This window comes from Homo sapiens, chromosome 4 (genome assembly GCF_000001405.40).
Source record: "Homo sapiens chromosome 4, GRCh38.p14 Primary Assembly".
In the NCBI taxonomy this organism is placed as follows: Eukaryota; Metazoa; Chordata; class Mammalia; order Primates; family Hominidae; genus Homo; species Homo sapiens.
The window spans coordinates 20,570,394-20,589,067 of NC_000004.12; the positions used below are offsets into that span (position 1 = coordinate 20,570,394).

Below are 18,674 nucleotides of genomic sequence, written 5' to 3' on the forward strand. Positions count from 1 at the left end.
TCACACTAATATTACCAATATTATCACACCTCAGAAACTTGACTTGGAGCCCTTTGAGCTGCCTAAGAATTTAACTTCATTGGATGGGCTAATTTAGACTTCTCCAAGAAGCCCGATGTTTGCACTAAAATCTGCTACCTGGTACCTTCTTAGGATAGAATAATTCTCTTTTCCATCATTTTCCTGATCATTATAGACAGGGCTTAAGAACCCAGTTAATTTTGGAGGCCTCCTTAAACCAAGCCACTGTCACTGCACCAGACAAATTGGACCCAAGCATTTCAAGCAAGCTTTGCCTAACCAATGCACAGAACCAGGAATATATATATATATATATGTATATATATATATATATATATATATATATATTTCCTGATGAAAACCTAGGCTTTGGAGCACAACTGCAATCAGGTTCTTATGTGTCTTTTTGACAATAAAATTTCTAGAAGGTGGTTGAGGACTCTTGAGTTGGTTTGGAGGAGTCCTCCTGCTTTGACTTTAGATTTGCTATTCCTTATTCTTATCCATTTCTTTTGAGTCTTTGTCTCACCTGCTCACCCTTCATTTCCCCAGCTCCCTCCCTACACCTGCTCCTCTTGAACACATGTTTTCTCCTATTCTAAGTGTCAGTTCAGAGCAGTTTCCTTGGAGAAGTGTTATGAAGCCTCACTTCCCCAACTATGTCAGATCTCTTTCTTTGAAACATATCATAAATACCTAAAGCTTAGCCAAACCATTTTTTAGCCAAAATGTGACATCTATAAAAGCTGTCATCTGGGAACTTGCCATGAGTATCTGTCAAGAGCCATTTGGCTCTCCACAAGAACTGGGACTGTTTTAGTCTTTTTACTTATAACTATTGCAAATGTCAGTTTGCCTTAATTTGGGCAAAGAATCAACAAAAATACTAAACAGAAAGTGCATGGCGTACAGAACATGAAGATATGACCATTTTATCTTTGGAATGGGTCTTGTGGGCCATGAAGAGTTTGACAATTTGGCATGAGAGAAGGTATCTAAATGGGGCAAATGTATAACTCATCTATTAATTGTAGTATTTTTGTGCACACATGAAATGAGCTCATTTACAAAATTTCTAACAACCATCTGCGGATTTTGAAATCATTGACACATAAGTGACCTTTAATTATGGGGAAGTATGAATGAGGCTCTAGAGTTTTATATCCTACTTCATCCAAGTCTGCAGTTAAGGAGGAATTTTCTTATAATGTGATTATATGGTTTTAAATTTGAGTTTGGAATCTGATTAATGAGCATGAGATCTGGGAGCAGAAGCCCTGCTATGCTCAGGGAATATAATAGTGTTGTCAGTGTTTAAAAATCATCCTAGTAACAAGTTGATTTTTCCTTTGAAAATTTTTTATTCTATATCCCGAAAGCATACAATGAGAAGTGAACTCTGTTTAATAAGAACAAATAATGACTTACAGAAAAAAAGCTTGTAAATTATTATGGTGACAGTTTTTGTATTTGACACCTATGTCAAGAGTCAGAACGGACATTATGTCAATGGAAACAAATTCAGAGATCTGAGAGCAATCTGACAGAGAAGTTATGATGTGATGAACAGACTACAAAACGTGACTAGAAATATTTAAAATAAAATGAGCCACCAATGGGGAATTTATTAAACATTGTTTAAGCCCTATGTGACCAAAATATCACAGTAAGTAGTTACTGATTTGTTAGAGGAGAAAATTCTCTGCTCTTTCCTGCTCCAGGGATTGACAGCATGAATTGTAAGGACAAGTACTGTTTTTCTGTTATTTAAATATTGCTGTAACTTCACCACCCTAGTCACCAAAACCATTCTCCATATACTCCAGTTATCATCTGTGCTTCCAGTTGTGTAATGCATGACTGCCGATTACTAGTATATTTTAGGTAAGATTAACTTTTGAAAAGTTGAATTCACTATGAATCTAAATTAACATCCCTATACTATTAAGAAAGTAGGACTTCAGAATTGTTAAACAAATAATTTTAAAATTAAATTTAAGGTTTTAATTGTAGCTTGAGAGAATTTTGTTGATTTTGATTTTTTGTTTGGTTATTTTTTTAAAATCATGATCATCTTCTTTCTAAAGACAAGACATTTCTTGGAGCTAAATTTCCAAGGAATTCCTGAAATAACATAAACCTAACACCTATGCAAATAAAAACTATAAATGTGGCACCCCTGTTTTTTTAAAAAATGGACACTTTTTTTAGGCTGTAGTGTTAACTTAGGTGTTTAATTCAAAAATGTGCTTTTGTATATTTCCCAACAGTCAGAACCCTGGATCTGCTGTATCAAGACTGTGTGTCTTAATTAACTTTTATTCTTACAGGACCACATACAAGTATGACACAGTTGATCACATTTTAAGCCCTTCTTTCACTTAATGGGATTACTTAAATTCCATAAAGTGAACATCTCCATGCAGATTGGGTGTGTAAAGCCTTAGAACACATTTTGTGGAAAATATTCAGACCACTTTAAATTTTCCATTGTGTACCCATTTTCTCTTTGTTTTCCGAATCTCTGACGCCCATGCACAAGCCATTCAGTGTCCATCTTAAACAGTAAAACTGCTGGTTGTTCCATCACCTGGTTTAGACGCAGACCTCTAGCTCCCTGTGATGGCATTTACCTTTTGCCTCATTTTCTCCATGTTTGTGCGTGTGGCCCGGCTGTAGGTAAGAAATCCAAGCCTTGCTTCAGCTTGCTCGCCCACCCCTGCTTCTCTGTTGTGAACGCTGCGCATTGGCTTCCTGTGCTCTGCTGTTGTATTGCAATGTAAAAAGTCTTTTGTCTCTTCTGTCTTTGTCGCTGCCAGCTGCTAATCTGAATGAGGTGGAAAAAGGTTAGTTGCCTTTTAAGTCTATTATGATTTTCATTTTAGTCTCCCTCTTTCTTGTAAAGTTACATAGATTTCACTGCGGGTACACAGTAAAAAGGAATGTTGACAAAATATAAAATCTGAAAACAATATGCCAAATCAGTCATTCAGATGTTTAATCTATGCATCGCTATGACAAACAGTATAAAATGGGCCTCTGAAATGCAATTTATCTATTGTTAGAAGACAATGAATAGAAACTTTTTGAGTGGGAAGAAGGGGTGGCTAGAATAAGGGACTAATATAAATTTTTTTAATTTTCTACTTGTCTATATTCTTTCACTTTTTAAATATATCACAAACATATTATTTTTGGAATGAAAAACATAGGTTATTTAGTACTGTAGATAAGGCTGTAGATAGAAAAATTTTTAAGTAAGACTGTTCCCATAACTTTAAGCAAATATCTTTAGTAACATGTAACATGAAAAATATTTGAAGGTGTATACATTTATTGAAACACTTTATGAAATAAATATTATAAAGCCCAAGAAGTTGACTTATAAATTTGTGTTATAGGATACCGTGACTACTAGGTAGTATGTTTAAGCATAAAAATGCCATATTTAATTATTGGCGTCAATATGGGCCACCAGGCTCCCAAAATACATCAGGGCCCAAGAACGTGAGTCATAGAATTATTTTATTTATTTATTTATTTATTTATTTATTTATTGAGATGGAGTCTCACTCTGTCACCCAGGCTGGAGTGCAGTGGCGCAATCTCGGCTCACTGCAAGCTCCACCTCCCAGGTTCACGCCATTCTCCTGCCTCAGCCTCCCAAGTAGCTGGGACTACAGGTGTCCGCCGCCATGCTTGGCTAATTTTTTGTATTTTTAGTAGAGACGGGATTTCACTGTGTTAGCCAGGATGGTCTCGATCTCCTGACCTCATGATTCACCCGCCTCAATCTCCCCAAGTGCTGGGATTACAGGTGTGAGCCACCACACCTGGCCTGAGTCATAGAATTATTAGAGTGATAGCCATGTCTGGGAAATCATCATGGAATATTTATGAAATGTTATCTTAAAGACTCAGAGTTTTAACTAATTACATTGGATTTTTAATTATTCAGCTTACCAAAAGTCTTCAAGTACCAAATGCTGGCACAGTGTCCTAAAAGGAACACAACGTGTGCTTGTCTTGATAGCTCCAGTTGTATCTGAAGCATTTGCAGTTGGATTATGAGGATAATAAGGAAGTTATAGACTGGGCACAGTGGCTTACGCCTGCAATCCCAGCATTTTGGGAGGCCGAGGCAGGTGGATCCTTTGAGCCCAGGAGTTTGAGACCAGCCTGGGCAACATGGTGAAACCCTGTCTCTACTAAAAATACAAAAATGAGCAGGGCGTTGCGGCACAAGCTTGTAGTCCCAGCCACTTGGGAGGCTGAAGCAGGAGAATCGCTTGAACCTAGGAGGCAGAGGTTGCAGTGAGCCGAGATTGTGCCAGTGCACTGCAGCCTGGGCAAGAGAGTGAGACTCGCTTTCAAAAAAAAAAAAAAAAAAAAACAAAGGTTATTATATAGCAGGTCTCTCTGTCTTCTCTTGCTATGGGCTTCATTTCCTCTGTTGCATTGTTTGGATGATTTACTGTGTTTGCTGACTTACTCTTACAGTGTGCAGAGTTAAGTTGAAAACAAATGGTTTCATATTTTAGAATGTAACAGTATAACATGTGCTATTCTCTGTGGATTAATGCATCTAATACCTTCCTGGGTCAAATGGCTTCTTTTCTCTTTACAAGTACTAAGCAATTGGTGGCCTGGGTCAGGGATGTCTAAGGTCTGAGTCTATCTCAGAAACATAATAGCAATTATTCCATCACAGGAATATGTCCTTAAATTGTTGTGTATACTCTTAGAAACAATCTTGGCAGTACAAGTGTTTTAAATCGCCATGTGGTTTCATGTGTTGACTAAATTTCATGCTTATGTTTATAAAAGCTCCCTTTTATTTCCAAGAATTTGCTGCTGACTGAATTTGCTTTTAAAAGCAGTCAAATCATTCTCTATATTTTCAATTCAAAACTTAATTGGAAATAGAATTTCCATTTTTTTCTAGCACCTGGGGGAATTGTCTTAAATAAAAAGAATGTATATCATTAGTCGATACATTGTTAATTTAAAAGAACTCTGCAGTTTATGTGAACAACACAAAGGTGGGAAAAAACTTCTATGAAACAACGATAAACCACTTATTCAAGGATATGCACCTTGTAAGTAGAGGCCCAGATGCAAACCCATGTCTCATTGGCCCCAAAGCATGCACTTTGAGGTGGGGGCCTCTGCTGGAGCCTGTCCCTTCTGCCTTGCTGCCTCCTTCCAGGCACGGCTTCTTTTCTATCTCACAATAGCTTATTTCTCATTCATGATTTATGCCAAACAAGCTTTCCTTCTGCTCTCCTGCTGTCTCTTCAGCTCGCTGTGCACAATTGTCCTTATGTAAGGAAAGCTGTACCCACAAAATTCAAGTGCAGCCAAGCCGTCTATTTTATCTAGATAGGAAAAAAGCACCGAATGAATGCCTGTACAATTAATGAATAAATTCCCCCCGAGAACTAGGCTACCTTTTATCCCATAAGGCAGGTGGTTAGTTTGTGTAGGTAAGGGGAAAAGTTCGGGTTTCTCTTCCTGGCACGAATATTTATAAACTCTGGGACACCTCCCAGTCTTTTATTTTTCTTCTGTGAAAGAGGAATAATGATATCTGTCATATAATTCACATAGACATTTGAGAGTAACATGTAACTATGTATCGGAAAACACTTTGAATTGGTAAATGTCTATACTCTGGAAATATCGAAGGCTGCCCTGTAAGACAGGTTTAAATTTTGCATCATTTAATTCCAGCCATCATCACTACAGTGACATGGTTCAGATATATTTGATGCCATTCCTCATGGCAGAAGAATTCTTATGGGAATTCTTTATTCAATTTTTTATAAAGAAAATTACCTAAGGTAAATTATGTATAGAATGGAAATTTCTCTCCCCATATTGTTCAGTATTGTCTGTCTTTATTATTATTGTTTTTAATTGTACTTTGTATGCTCACTTCGTATAGAAAGATTTTATTTAGGGATAGGTCTTTGGTTCTCTTTGCCCCCATACACTACTTTGAAACATAAAGAAATACACAATGCTGAAGAGCTCTTGGATTTGGCTGAGTTGGATTTGTAGATTTTGTGTATATTTTTAGATTTTCATGATCTCTTAGTAACAGTGACTTCTGTTTTTAATTCTGCTTCGAGATGTGTAAGGTCTTTATATCAAGGTCGTTATAGTTGCGGACACACTTGTGAGCCTCAAATAAGGGAAACGTTAAGTTGCCATCTGTTTTTACTAGAGAGAATACTTTGGCAGCCTAATGATACTATGTGGTTTGTATTCATCCTCCAACCTTTCAAAACTTTCTTAAATGCACTTTAATCTCAAAAAAAAGTTTTAAAGATCTTGTTTGCTCTTTAGTTAATAGGCAGTGCCCATTGAGCCCAGAACAACAATTTAGCCTAAGCAAGTCTTATTCAATCTAATTTGAATTTATTTATTTTGAAAACTGAGTTAAATATTTTCTGAAGTTTCAGTAGCTGCTGGAATTGGCTATATTATTTAGCCTCAGTGTTCCAATAAGGAAATGCTGAAAAACACTTCATTTTCTGTTTGTTTATTTGGAGAGGTAAGTTTTTTTTTTTTCATTTAAAAATATACCAGATGCTTATTGAGAAAATATATTATGCAGGACACCATGCTAAGTATTGAAAGTGATACAAAAATCCATAAGACATTACCCTGATCTACTGAGCAAAAACTCTTTGGCTTTGATTCTTTACTGCAAGATCAGATCAGTTCAAATATTTCTCAGTACATAACCATCACTTCTCACATTCCAAGAACATTAATAATATAATATAGCTACTTTACTAGTTTGTAAGTAAAGAAAAACACTCCTTCTGAATATGGACACCGACCAATCTCCCTGACAGAGTCAAGCAACTCATTTCATACCACTTAGAAAACAAAAATAGGAACCGAAAACTGATTTTCCTTCTTTGAAATGTCTTAACACCTACATTTATAGCATATTTTCTTGAACCTTCCTATTTTGAATTATGATAAACTTTTATCTCACAGGGTTTCTCTATGGCAGCATTCCGATTATGTACGTGTCCCATTTTGCACCTATTGCACACAAAGATCACATCTGTTAATGGCTAATGTATCTTACTGGGCATCTGCCTGTGTTACTGTGTTGTGGTGCCTGGGATTATAACCTTGAGTATGTAACAAATAGGGCCTGCCTGGTTTAGCAAAAGAGGAGAAAATATACATACTTTTCTTTCAGGTCCAACTTAATGAAGCTGCCCTGTGATGACTCCCATAATCTCATCAGCTATATCCACCCTGTGCTATAGATCATCAGTCTCTCTGCCACACTGCATGGTCTGTAGGAGTAGAGAGAATGTTTCTGTTTCTATAAATAAAGAACAAATGGGAAATGTATACTTTTTAAAATCAGAATTGGATCGAATTTATAAAATTTGGTAATGATAAACATTCAGGTCCATTCATCTTAACCTTCCTCAAACATTCCACTTAAGTGCTGACAAGTGCAATTTCTTGATAATGGAGCTCATAGTCTCCATCCTCCATTGGAATGGTAATTGTTAGGCATAAAAATACAGTAGGGAAATCTGGAAATGAACAGTCTACCCATCTCATCCAGCCTGCAAGGGCACACCTCGGGCTCACATCTCAGAACACAAATCTGCTATCAGTTTTTTAATTCTCTCTTTGCTTCCTTACATTGTTCTTTATGTGATCTGGGTCTCCATTAACATTTAAAAAGCATTTGCCTGCAAGAAGCAATCAAATAAGTGCTATCTTTCCTATTTTTTTATCCAGCACTAGTTTGTGCCACTTTACTAGCGAATGCAATGGGAATGGAGAAATACAAAAATATAAATATAAAGGTATCCCATGCCCTCAAGTAGTGTACTTTTAAGAAACTAAATCATATTTTTTATCTATTAGGTTGCTTATTTTGATATCTTCCCTTGCTGAGTTAATTCAAAGAGAATAAAATTAGTACATTTATTCAAATCTTTCTTGAGTTTGACTGATTACATTTAACACTAGAATTCTGGTCCAGTTATTCAGATTGCCATCCTAAATTTCTCCTTCATTATTATCAATATTAATAATTATTTCTTATAAAAAACAGTTTGTTACAAGTTACAGTAGGAATAAAAATGGGCTGCAGTATCAGCTCCAGTACCCTCGCCACCTCTTTCGTACATCTATGATATCCAGAATGGACTCAGATTTTTATCTATTTCAAAGAGAGAAGAAGCTAATCTAGTTACATTAGCAGAAGGTAGCAACAGTAGCAAGAGTTACGTGTGCCAGCAACACCATGTACTGCTATCTAAAATTATTTTGTTGTAGACATGCCCAATTTGAATTTAAAAAGCTAACTTTGGGGAAAATTAAAGAGAGATACTCAACATCCATTTAGTGTAAAACAAATTAATATTTTTAACAGTGATTTGAGTTGGAAAATTTCAGAAATCTTAATCTGGGGACAAAATGACCCACTTTTTTGATAAGCAGGCTTCCACCTTTTTGATAAGCAGGCTTTGAGGACTAAATAAGCCTAGATGAGACATCCCATTGCCCAGATTTCTTGGTAGATAGAAAGCAATTAATAGTCCAGCCAAGGTGGGCACAGTAGCTCATGCCTATAATCCTGGCACTTTGGGAGGCCGAGGCAGGTGGATCACGAGGTCAGGAGTTTGAGACCAGCCTTGCCAATATGGTGAAACCTTGTCTCTACTGAAAATACAAAAAAAAAAATCAGCTGGGCGTGGTGGTGCGTGCCTGTAATCCCAGCTACTCAGGAGGCTGAGGCAGGAGATTACTCAAACCCAGGAGGCGGAGGTTACACTGAGCTGAGATTGCACCACTGCACTTTAGCCTGGGTGACAGAACAAGACTCCGTCTAGGGAAAAAAAAAAAAAATAGCCCAGCCAACAATTCTTCAAAACTTTCCTGTCTGTAATTAACACAGCTTATTTAGCAAAGAGAACAAATCTCTTTGGGGTAATAATGTATTTCGGAACTGTATAATATAGTTTTTAATAATAATTAAAAATAAAAATTTCATTCAGCCCAGTTTCTAGGCCGGGATGCTACACATATGTCAGTCATTAAGGAAACTTAACGGACAGTAGGAAATTAGATGTTGATCTTATTTCTCTAAATTTTCCATATAGGAACTTCTCCAGGGTAAAGCTTTGTCATACTCATCCTTCAATCATTTGCTAGATCTAGCACAAAAAATTTCTCCCAAGATGTGTAATGAAAATTACACTAAAGCAGCTTTTGTTGGCGAAATAAAAAAACCTCACTCTGAGAGAGTACATGTAAACTAATTATATAATCAGTAAATTTATTTTTAAACTATTCTTACTCATTTCGGGAAACATTTATTGTTAACTCTCATGGACCATATACTATCTTCATTATTCATTCATTTGTCAAAAAATTACTATAGTTAAGAAATTTCAACAATGCTTAATGAGTTAAAGCAGTATTTTTTAAAGAAAAAGTACATTTAAGAAATTTGACAGTATGTACAGGAAATGTAAATCAACTCAAATATTCTCCAAATAATATATATTATATATATATTTAATATGTAATATATCATATATAATATATTATTATATATAATATATATTATGTATATATTATATATTATGTATATATTATATATATATATATATATTTGAGACCGTGTCTGGCCTAGGCTGGAGTGCAGTGGCATGATCTCAGCTCACTGCAACCTCCGCCTCTCAGGTTCAAGCGATTCTCTTGCCTCAGCCTCCCAAGTAGCTGGGATTACAGATGCGCACCACCATACCCAGTTATTTTTTGTATTTTCAGTAGAGACAGGGTTTCACCATGTTGACCTCAGGTGATCCACGCACCTCGGCCTCCTGTAGTGCTAGGATTACAGGCATGAGCCACTGTGCCCGGTTGATATAATGTAAAGTAATAAAACACTTTCAGGATTATTTTTATACTTAATGATAGTATATATATATATTATACGTGTGTGTGTGTGTGTGTGTGTGTGTATGCACATAAGTAGTTAATAATTGCAGCTGTTAAAGTTCAAGATCATCTGCAAACTTACCATAAAGCTGATGGCACAGGCATTCGACTCACTTTCTCTTCTTCAAGACACAGTAGTCTATGATTCTCTTGCCTTTGCTGTCTTTAAGACCTTGAAGAGGAGAATTGTTGTTATTATTTGGTGGATAGCCTGTCCTGCAAGCCCTAACTGCTAACACCAGCTCCCCTCCAACAGAGGAGTAAGTGATGATTGGTCCAAGTCAAGCACAACTCACAGTGCTTTGCAGAGAGACATCTGGCCACAGCAGCAAATGTAGAGCTAATCTACACTACTGTGCTCCACTTACATCTTGACTCTCTTGAAGCACGGGGAGCCTTGTCATGGAGCACTCCTTCTCCTTTGTGCACCGCTTATTACAGACTGACTGTTGGAGAAGCTTATAGTCCTAAAAGAAAACTTGAGACAAAGGAGAGGACAGCTACATGAAATAAAATGAGAGGAAAGAGACGTAAAAATGAAAAAAAGAAAAAGAAAAAGGAAGAAATAGTGGCATAAGTTGAAAGTTTTATTCCCCGCTGTAAACTTCCAGTGATTTGGAATTTACTACCTGTATTGTTTTGCTAGGGCTGCCATAACAAATTACTGCAAACTGGAGGCTTAAACAACAGAGTTTTATTGTCTTACAGTTCTGGAGGCTAGAGGTCTGAAATCAAGGTGTTGATTCCTGCCAAGGATTGTGAGGGAAATGTCTCTTCCAGGCCTGTCTAGTTGGCTTCTCCCTGTTTTTCATATCATCTTCCCTCTATGCCTGTCTTTCTTGGTATCCAGGTTTCCCTTTTTGATAACACAAGCCATATTGGATTAGGGCCTATCCTAATGACTTTATTTTAACTTGATTTCCTCAGTAAAAACTCTATCTCAAAATAAGGTCACAACCTGGGGTACTAGAGGACTCACACATATTTTGTTTTGAGGGGCACAATTGAATCCTCAACACCACATCACTGTATTTTAAACTCTGTTTGCACCAGAAAACCTGGTCTTCTTCCACTGTTCTCCATGTCACCAAAAGGTAATTCCCAATATAGGTACCCAAATCATAGACATTCTAGACAACTCCCTTTCTCTCTTTCCCCCATGCTTATTCAGTCCATCACAAAGTCCCATCTGTTTTGCTTCCTAAACACTGCTTTGGGCCATGTATATCTCCACCCCACCCCTACCCTGTACAAGTGGTCACCTCTCATGTGCACTTGTATCCCCACTTATGCAATCTGCCATCCTCCACTGGAGACAGAGTTCTCTCTTTCTCTCTCTTTCTTTCTTTCCAGAATTTCGCTCTTCATTGCCCAGGCTAGAGTAGTGCAGTGGTGCAATCTCTGCTCACTGCAACCTCCACCTCCCGGGTTCAAGCAATTCTCCTGTCTCAGCCTTCCAAAGAGCTGGGATTATAGGCACCCACTACCACACCTGGCTAATTTTTGTATTTTTAGTAGAGACGGGGTTTCACCATCTTGGCCAGGCTTGTCTCAAACTCCTGACCTCAGGTGATCTGCTCGCCTTGGCCTCCCAAAGTGCTGGGATTACAGGCGTGAGCCACTGTGCCCAGCCAGAGTGCTCTTTTCAAAGTGCAGATGTCATCTGGCCATGCCCCGACTCAAAACCTTTCAGTGGGAGCCTATTATTCATAGAATGAAGACCTTCGACCCTGTGGCCCAGCCAGCCTCTGGGGCTCCTCTGGCACCATGTTTTCCCGGGCTCACTCCCCATCTCTTAGGGCTCCTGTTCTTCATGCTGCCTCCTGCAGAAGCCTCTGTCAGAGCTCTTCATTCTCCACTTCACCCTTGCCTCTGAGTCTCACCTCTTCAGAAGAATCTCTCCTGTCCTTCTTCAGAGGAAACAGTCCCTTTCTAGGGCCCCATAAAATGTTCCTGCTTAGCATTCAGCACAGAGGCAATTTTATGCATATAGTAGTCCCCTCGTTATCTGCGGGTGATACGTTCCAAGACCCTCAGTAGATGCCTGAAACCACAAATAGTACTGAAGCCAGTTGCTATCAATCAGAACATGTTTCTGTTCATGTCTTTCAACCCACACACTGAATCCCTCTTCATCCCAAGTAAGCCCTTAGCATGCATGGTGGCTGTAACTTTTGCAGTTTGAGGTATGACAGCAAAACTAGTATGAATTTCTTTTTCCCTTGTTCACAACTTTGCAGAGATAGGAGATTCATTTTTGCGGTAGATCTTAGCATCCTCAGTGTACAATTTTTCTCTCTTTCCTTATTAAGTTAAGAACTTTTACCTTTTCACTTAAAGGAAGCACTTGACAGTTTCTCTTGGGCTTGTCCAAATTACCAACATCACTACTCTTGCACTTTGGGGCCATTATTAAGTAAAATAAGGTTTCCTTGAACAGGATGACTGTGATACCACGACAACAGATTTGATAACTGAGATGGCTCATAAGTGACTGATGGGCAGGAGGCTTCTTCAGCCAGATACCCTGGATAGAGATAATTTACGTGCTGGGTGTGATGGAGCAGAATGGAACAAGATTTCACCAAGCTACTCAGAACTCATGCAATTCAAGACTTACGAATTGTTTATTTCTGGAATTTTCCATTTAATATGTTTTGGCCGCTGTTAACAGTGGGGAACTGAAACCACAGAAAACAAAACTGCCGATAAAGGGGGACTACTTTACTTGGGAAATTACTGAATTAATATCTTTCTCCTCCTCCTCTCATACATAAACTCTGTGGAAATAGGAATAGTTTGTTGTTGTTGTTGTTGTTGTTTACCATTATACTTCTAGCATTGGTAGAGGTCCCCATTCATAGTTGGGACTCAAAATATATGGTGATGTTAAAAATCTGATTTGCTGTTTTAATTATTTGAAAAAGCTATAGGCAGATCATTCTGTAAGTATCAGGGAAGAGCTTTGTAGAATAGTTCTAAAACTATTTCAGTAAGTATGGTAACAAATTTAAACACAAAGATAACAAGATACTAGGAAGGAAGTAGAAATGAAGGCAATAGGAAGGGCCCCTTTGTGTTAAACAAGGAAGGAGCATTAAAAACAGTTAGGTTCAGGCCGGGCACAGTGGCTCACGCCTGTAATCCCAAGACTTTGGGAGGCTGAGGTGGGTGGATCACAGGGTCAAGAGATGAGACCATCCTGGCCAACATGGTGACACCTCATCTCTACTAAAAGTACAAAATTTAGCTGGGCATGGTGGTGCGCACCTGTAGTCCCAGCTACTGGGGAGGCTGAGACAGGAGAATCGTTTGAACCCAGGAGGCAGAGGTTGCAGTGAGCCAAGATCATGCCACTGCACTCCAGCCTGGGCGACAGAATGAGACTCCATCACAAAAATAATAATAATAATAATAAAAATAAAATAAAAATAAAAAAGTTAGGTTCATAGATCTAAAATGAAGCAGAAGGTAAGGCCAAACTCCAGGTATTATTTCTCATAAAAACCATCAAAGTGCATTGAGGTTTCTTCCTCAGTGCAATAATACTCACAATATCAGTACCACAGGGGGCTCTGAACATATGCTGGCACTTTATTTTTACCGCTGAATGAAGTAATGTTATTTTGTACAGCTAAGTGTGATACTCCCTCTGGTAACTTGCTGTCTGCATGATCCATATCTTCAGAAGCATTTTCCTTTTTATTGAAAAAAAGGGATTTTTTTAGAGCCACAGTTAACCTTACACATCTCTAATTCCAGAGCCTCAGTTTACTGATGAAGAACTGAGGCTGAGAACAATAAAATAGTTCTGCAACCAGTCAACTCTCGTATATTGCATACAACCGTAGAAGGCCATCCTAGACAATAATACAACTAACCAAATGTCATTTTCCCCAATAAGAACAGTTACTTCCTGAGGTCTCTTTATGCTGATTCACTCTTCACTCCAGAGTATTATCAACTCTGATGATCCAGCTTTTTACTGTTCCACCTAGAAGGTGACCCATAACATTTATCATCCAAATCAGGGTAGTTATGTGAGTGCCCAGGCACACTATTGACAATTACGTTGGGACAACGGGTATAAACCAGGACGGTTGTACAAGCAAGAATGAATGGGCACATTACCACTCCATGAAATTTTTCAGAAGAAACACATTCACAGATATTCAGTAAGTAGCATTTTATCTCCCCTTCAAGAGTGAGTCTGAAAAATCATTCCCATTTAGAAGAGTGGGTATCACTTTTGGCATGCTCTTTCACAAGTTGTAATAGTGTTACTGTAGAACTTGGTCATTTCTTGTCCTGTTGTGTCCCATATATAACCGACAGACAAAATCAGGAAGAGGTGATCTAAGAAACAGATAAAACTCTATACCTGTAATCCCAGCACTTTGGGAGGCCAAGGTGGGAGGATCAGTTGAGGTCAGGAGTTTGAGACCAGCATGCCCAACATGGTGAAACCCCGTCTCTACTTAAAATACAAAAATTAGCTGGGCATGGTGGCATGTGCCTGTAATCCCAGCTACTCAGGAGGCTGAGGCAGGAGAATCACTTGAGCCTGGGAGGCAGAGGTTACAGTGAGCCAAGATCACGACACTGCACTCCAGCCTGACTGACAGAGCAAGACTCTATCTCAAAAAAAACAAAAAACAAAAAACAACAAAAAAAAACAACCTCTATGTCAAAAAGATTCCTCTGTTTACAACATGTAGCACTTTTTCTTAAGAAAGTTCTGGCATTCGCAGATATTGGTTACCAGCAATATTTATTACCAGTTACAGTAGATCATTTACTAACCTCTCTTATCCTGAAGAGGTAACCATAGACCCCTTGATGGACCACTCTTTGTTTTCTCGCCAAAACATACACAACCAACATATATACGTACACTCAGAATGCTTCAACCTCTTATCAACAAGAGATGAAAACTAGAATCATAAGGAAAATTAATTTGCTCATCTGATCAAAAGTGAAATCACAAATGCCAGGCAATGACTGTGTTCCACACTATTGGGAAATTTTAAGGGCCCATGGCTGAAAATAAATAAATAGGATTTCCTGGGATTTAGAGGAATGGGTTGAAGCCAGATCATGGAGTCAAGGCTTGCCTAGGCTCCTATCTCTTGAGAGGCTCATAGACACCAACATTTAACCTATATTCAACCACATTGCCCCAAACCACTCCAATGGATTGACTTATCTTTCTTGATGTCAGTTTAAACGTATTAAGACCTGCTTATAGGGTAATCATTTACAACACTAACTCTGTATAGTCGAATAAAGAATATTTCCAGTTTTCCTTTCTGTCACCTCACACTTTATCATCTCTGAAAGGGAGGCAGCCATTGATAATATTATCTCAGGACCTGAGCCATCACAAAAGCAAACTCAATTCCCCTATTTTTTATTATTTTTCCACTAACTCAGTACTAGCTCTGACTACACTTAAAATAAAAACCAAGTAAAAATGGCATCATGTCCTCACAATACTATGAGGTTTGGGGGAACTTTTCAATATTGGTAACTAAAAATACATTAGCTGACTAATGTTAGTCATTTTATCTCTATTCTTCCTGGAAAACCAGTGCAGCTTTTAGCTGTCTAATTTCCTCTTACTGGTTGAGAAGTAGACATGCAGGCCAGTATTCATCTAAGGAGCTTGCTAAGTTTCCCTTCTTATATTGAGCTCCTGAATCTCGCCACTGTTGCACTCTTTTGAAAGCGGTCCTTCCCTCAAGTATAGCAGAATCCAATATAATTAAGGAAAATTAAAGAAACAGTCCAATGAAAACATTCATGTTAATATTTAGTCAGGGAAAATTCACAGTAATGTTTAAAGAGAATAGCATAAGCTATGTTATTACTAATCATGAGTGAGTAATTAAGCAAAAAATTACACTAATCTCTAAAGGCTAGAATGAAATCTGAGTTGATTACAGGTCAACAAGATAGAGCTCTTGCCTTAAAAAGCATGATTCCTCCTTTTAATGACTATTATTTGAGTATGTCAGCATACCACACTCTGGAAAAAACACAAAAGCAAATGTGGCAAGAATTCTACTCTTAGTGATTTTACAGTCGAGAAAAGAGAGTCAGATAAACACCAGTAATATAAAATGCACACATAACAGTGCAACCCTAAAACCTTACCTTATATGCTTGTAATGAATATTAAGTGACTGCATATTTATACAGTGTTTAAAACTGTTTAGCATACAGTAGTAAGCATGATATAAATGCTCATTAAGTACATAAACAAATATATACCATGTATATGTCATAAGATAGGCATAGTCAAACACAATATAAAATTAGAGATAGAGAAGAAATAGTTGAAAAGATCTGGCATGATTCCATAAAGAAGGGAACATATAATGGATGAGAAAAGTGACAACAGAATTGTGAAAGGTTGTTATTAAAGCAAAAGGAGAAACCATTAGCCCTGGCATGGAGTTGAAATAAATTCAGGAAATAGTAAACAGACCCAGGTGATATGAATGTCGGGTGGAAGATTGGTCTTTAAAGCAAGTTAGGCAGTAATTGGATGCAGAAAATGTTTTTGTAATATTTGTTAGCATTATAATGTTCGGTGATAATAAAGAAAATCAAATCTTTTTTTTTTTTTGACTGCTCTTGTCACCCAGACCGGAGTGCAGTGGCACAATCTCGGCTCATGGCAACCTCCGCCTCCTGGGTTCAAGCGATTCTCCTGCCTCAGCCTCCCGAGTAGCTGGGATTACAGGCCCCCGCCACCACACCCAGCTAATTTTTGTATTTTTAGTAGAGACAGGGTTTCACCATGTTGGCCAAGCTGGTCTCGAACTCCTGACCTCAGGCAATCCGCCCTCCTCAGCCTCCTAAGTTCGGGGATTACAGGCATGAGCCACCATGCCTGGCCAAAAATCAAATCATTTTTGACGTTGTCAACCTATCTTACTAAGGTCAGGTGTATAGCTATGTAATGGTCACAAAGAAGTACCATATACAATCTCAGTAATGATTATTGCTATTTTGCTACTCTTGGAGAGGTAAGGAATACTTGACATTGATGTAGTTTTTTATGTTCAAGTTGGCATGCTTAATCTTAAAGCTGTTGATTAGAGATTTAACAATCTGGTTAGCTAACAGTTTCTTGGAACTTTGTCCTTGTTCACTCCTTTACATTATCAAGTCTGTGGAGTAATTCCTTTTAGACAAGGGTCAACTCTCAGTTTTATTTTTTTAGAGATGAAATTCTCTGTCTCTGTTCTTTCCCTAGCTCAAGACTTTCTCTGCTGGTAGATTAAGAACTGATTAGGAGCAGAGTCCATTACATTCATCCTTGTAGCTCCAGCCTCTAGCACAACATCACGTAGTAAATCCTTATGGACTGTGACTTAGATTGGATGAATTGGGTTGGATTGTATCAGAGTAAATAAAGAATAAAACATTTCCCTTTATTATAATTTTAAAACAGTTTCTTATTTAGGCATAAAGTGAAAAGTACATAAAATGACATTTATTATGTATCTCAAATGGTCCTTCTTTACTATCAGTTTTTACAAACTGTCTTGGATAGATACTACTATAAACAGCCTATATCTCCATCAGATAGATTTGGTTAGAAACTGAAAGTGATTTCATCATAGTAGGCTGATAAAATATGATGAATGCATTTCATCAAGGTATCCAACTTAGAGTAATACTATTTGAAATCACAAGCCTTTAAATAAAACCTGTTTAAAAATAGTTCATCATGCATATGTTGCTAAAAATCTTTTGTATCCCAGAAAACTTATAGAAGCAATATATGAGACTTACTGTGCAATTAGTTCTTTTTAAGAGACAGATAAAAACTAATATCATACACCAGATTGATGTAATAACTAGATGAATACATTTATTAATTTGCATCACGGGAAAAGACTCTTGAAGTCTAAATAATATGCCACATTTAGTTGTCAAGCAATGATTTCTACCAACTAGCAGTGTATTATTTTAAAAGGATCATCTTGTAACAAAGGGGTGCTGTTACAAGGTGCACAAGCCTGAAATTTTAACCGATGCTGTTACAAATGACAGTTTTAGTAGTTTCCTGGAAATGAACAGCTGCCTATAGATGTGTCACTTTATTTGTCCATTTATTGCATATAAAACAATTCAAAAGTAGGAGTAAAGTAGAAAAGGTAAAAATAACTTAAAATGTATTATGTAAGTTAATATATATTATGTATATGAATACCTTTCCAGTCACCTTAATACTTTATGCCACAATTGGGAAAGTCTTCTAAATGAAAATTACATTTGGTCTAATGTATGTGAAATAATAACCATGTTATTTTTATCAGAAGAAATTTTCTAAAGAAATTATCAGTCATGTGATTCAACAAAGAGTACCTAGAATCTGCGTGGTTATGCCTTCAGCTCTCATTTGTTGATAGAAGTTCTATTTCATGAGTTAGCTGACTTTCATGGAAAAAATATATGTTCCCTGTCTCTGTATTGAGTCTCCTTTTACTTTTTTCTTTATATGTCAGAGGATGTGGCTCTAAGAAGTTTTCTGTTGAGCTGCGGCAATGATCCACAAGAAGGAAACCAAGTGTTTTTCTTATAGACTTTTAAGACCAGAGACTATGAAGATTTGAGAATATTTTTTTCAAACATAAAAC

The 18,674-nt window shown here is 37.4% G+C and overlaps 1 protein-coding gene across 8 annotated transcripts in view; it reads left to right on the forward strand.

The window, feature by feature from the left end:
• Positions 1–18,674, forward strand: part of SLIT2 (slit guidance ligand 2) — a 368,657-nt gene that overhangs the window by 318,489 nt on the left and 31,494 nt on the right. The gene's annotated exons all lie outside the window — the stretch shown is intronic.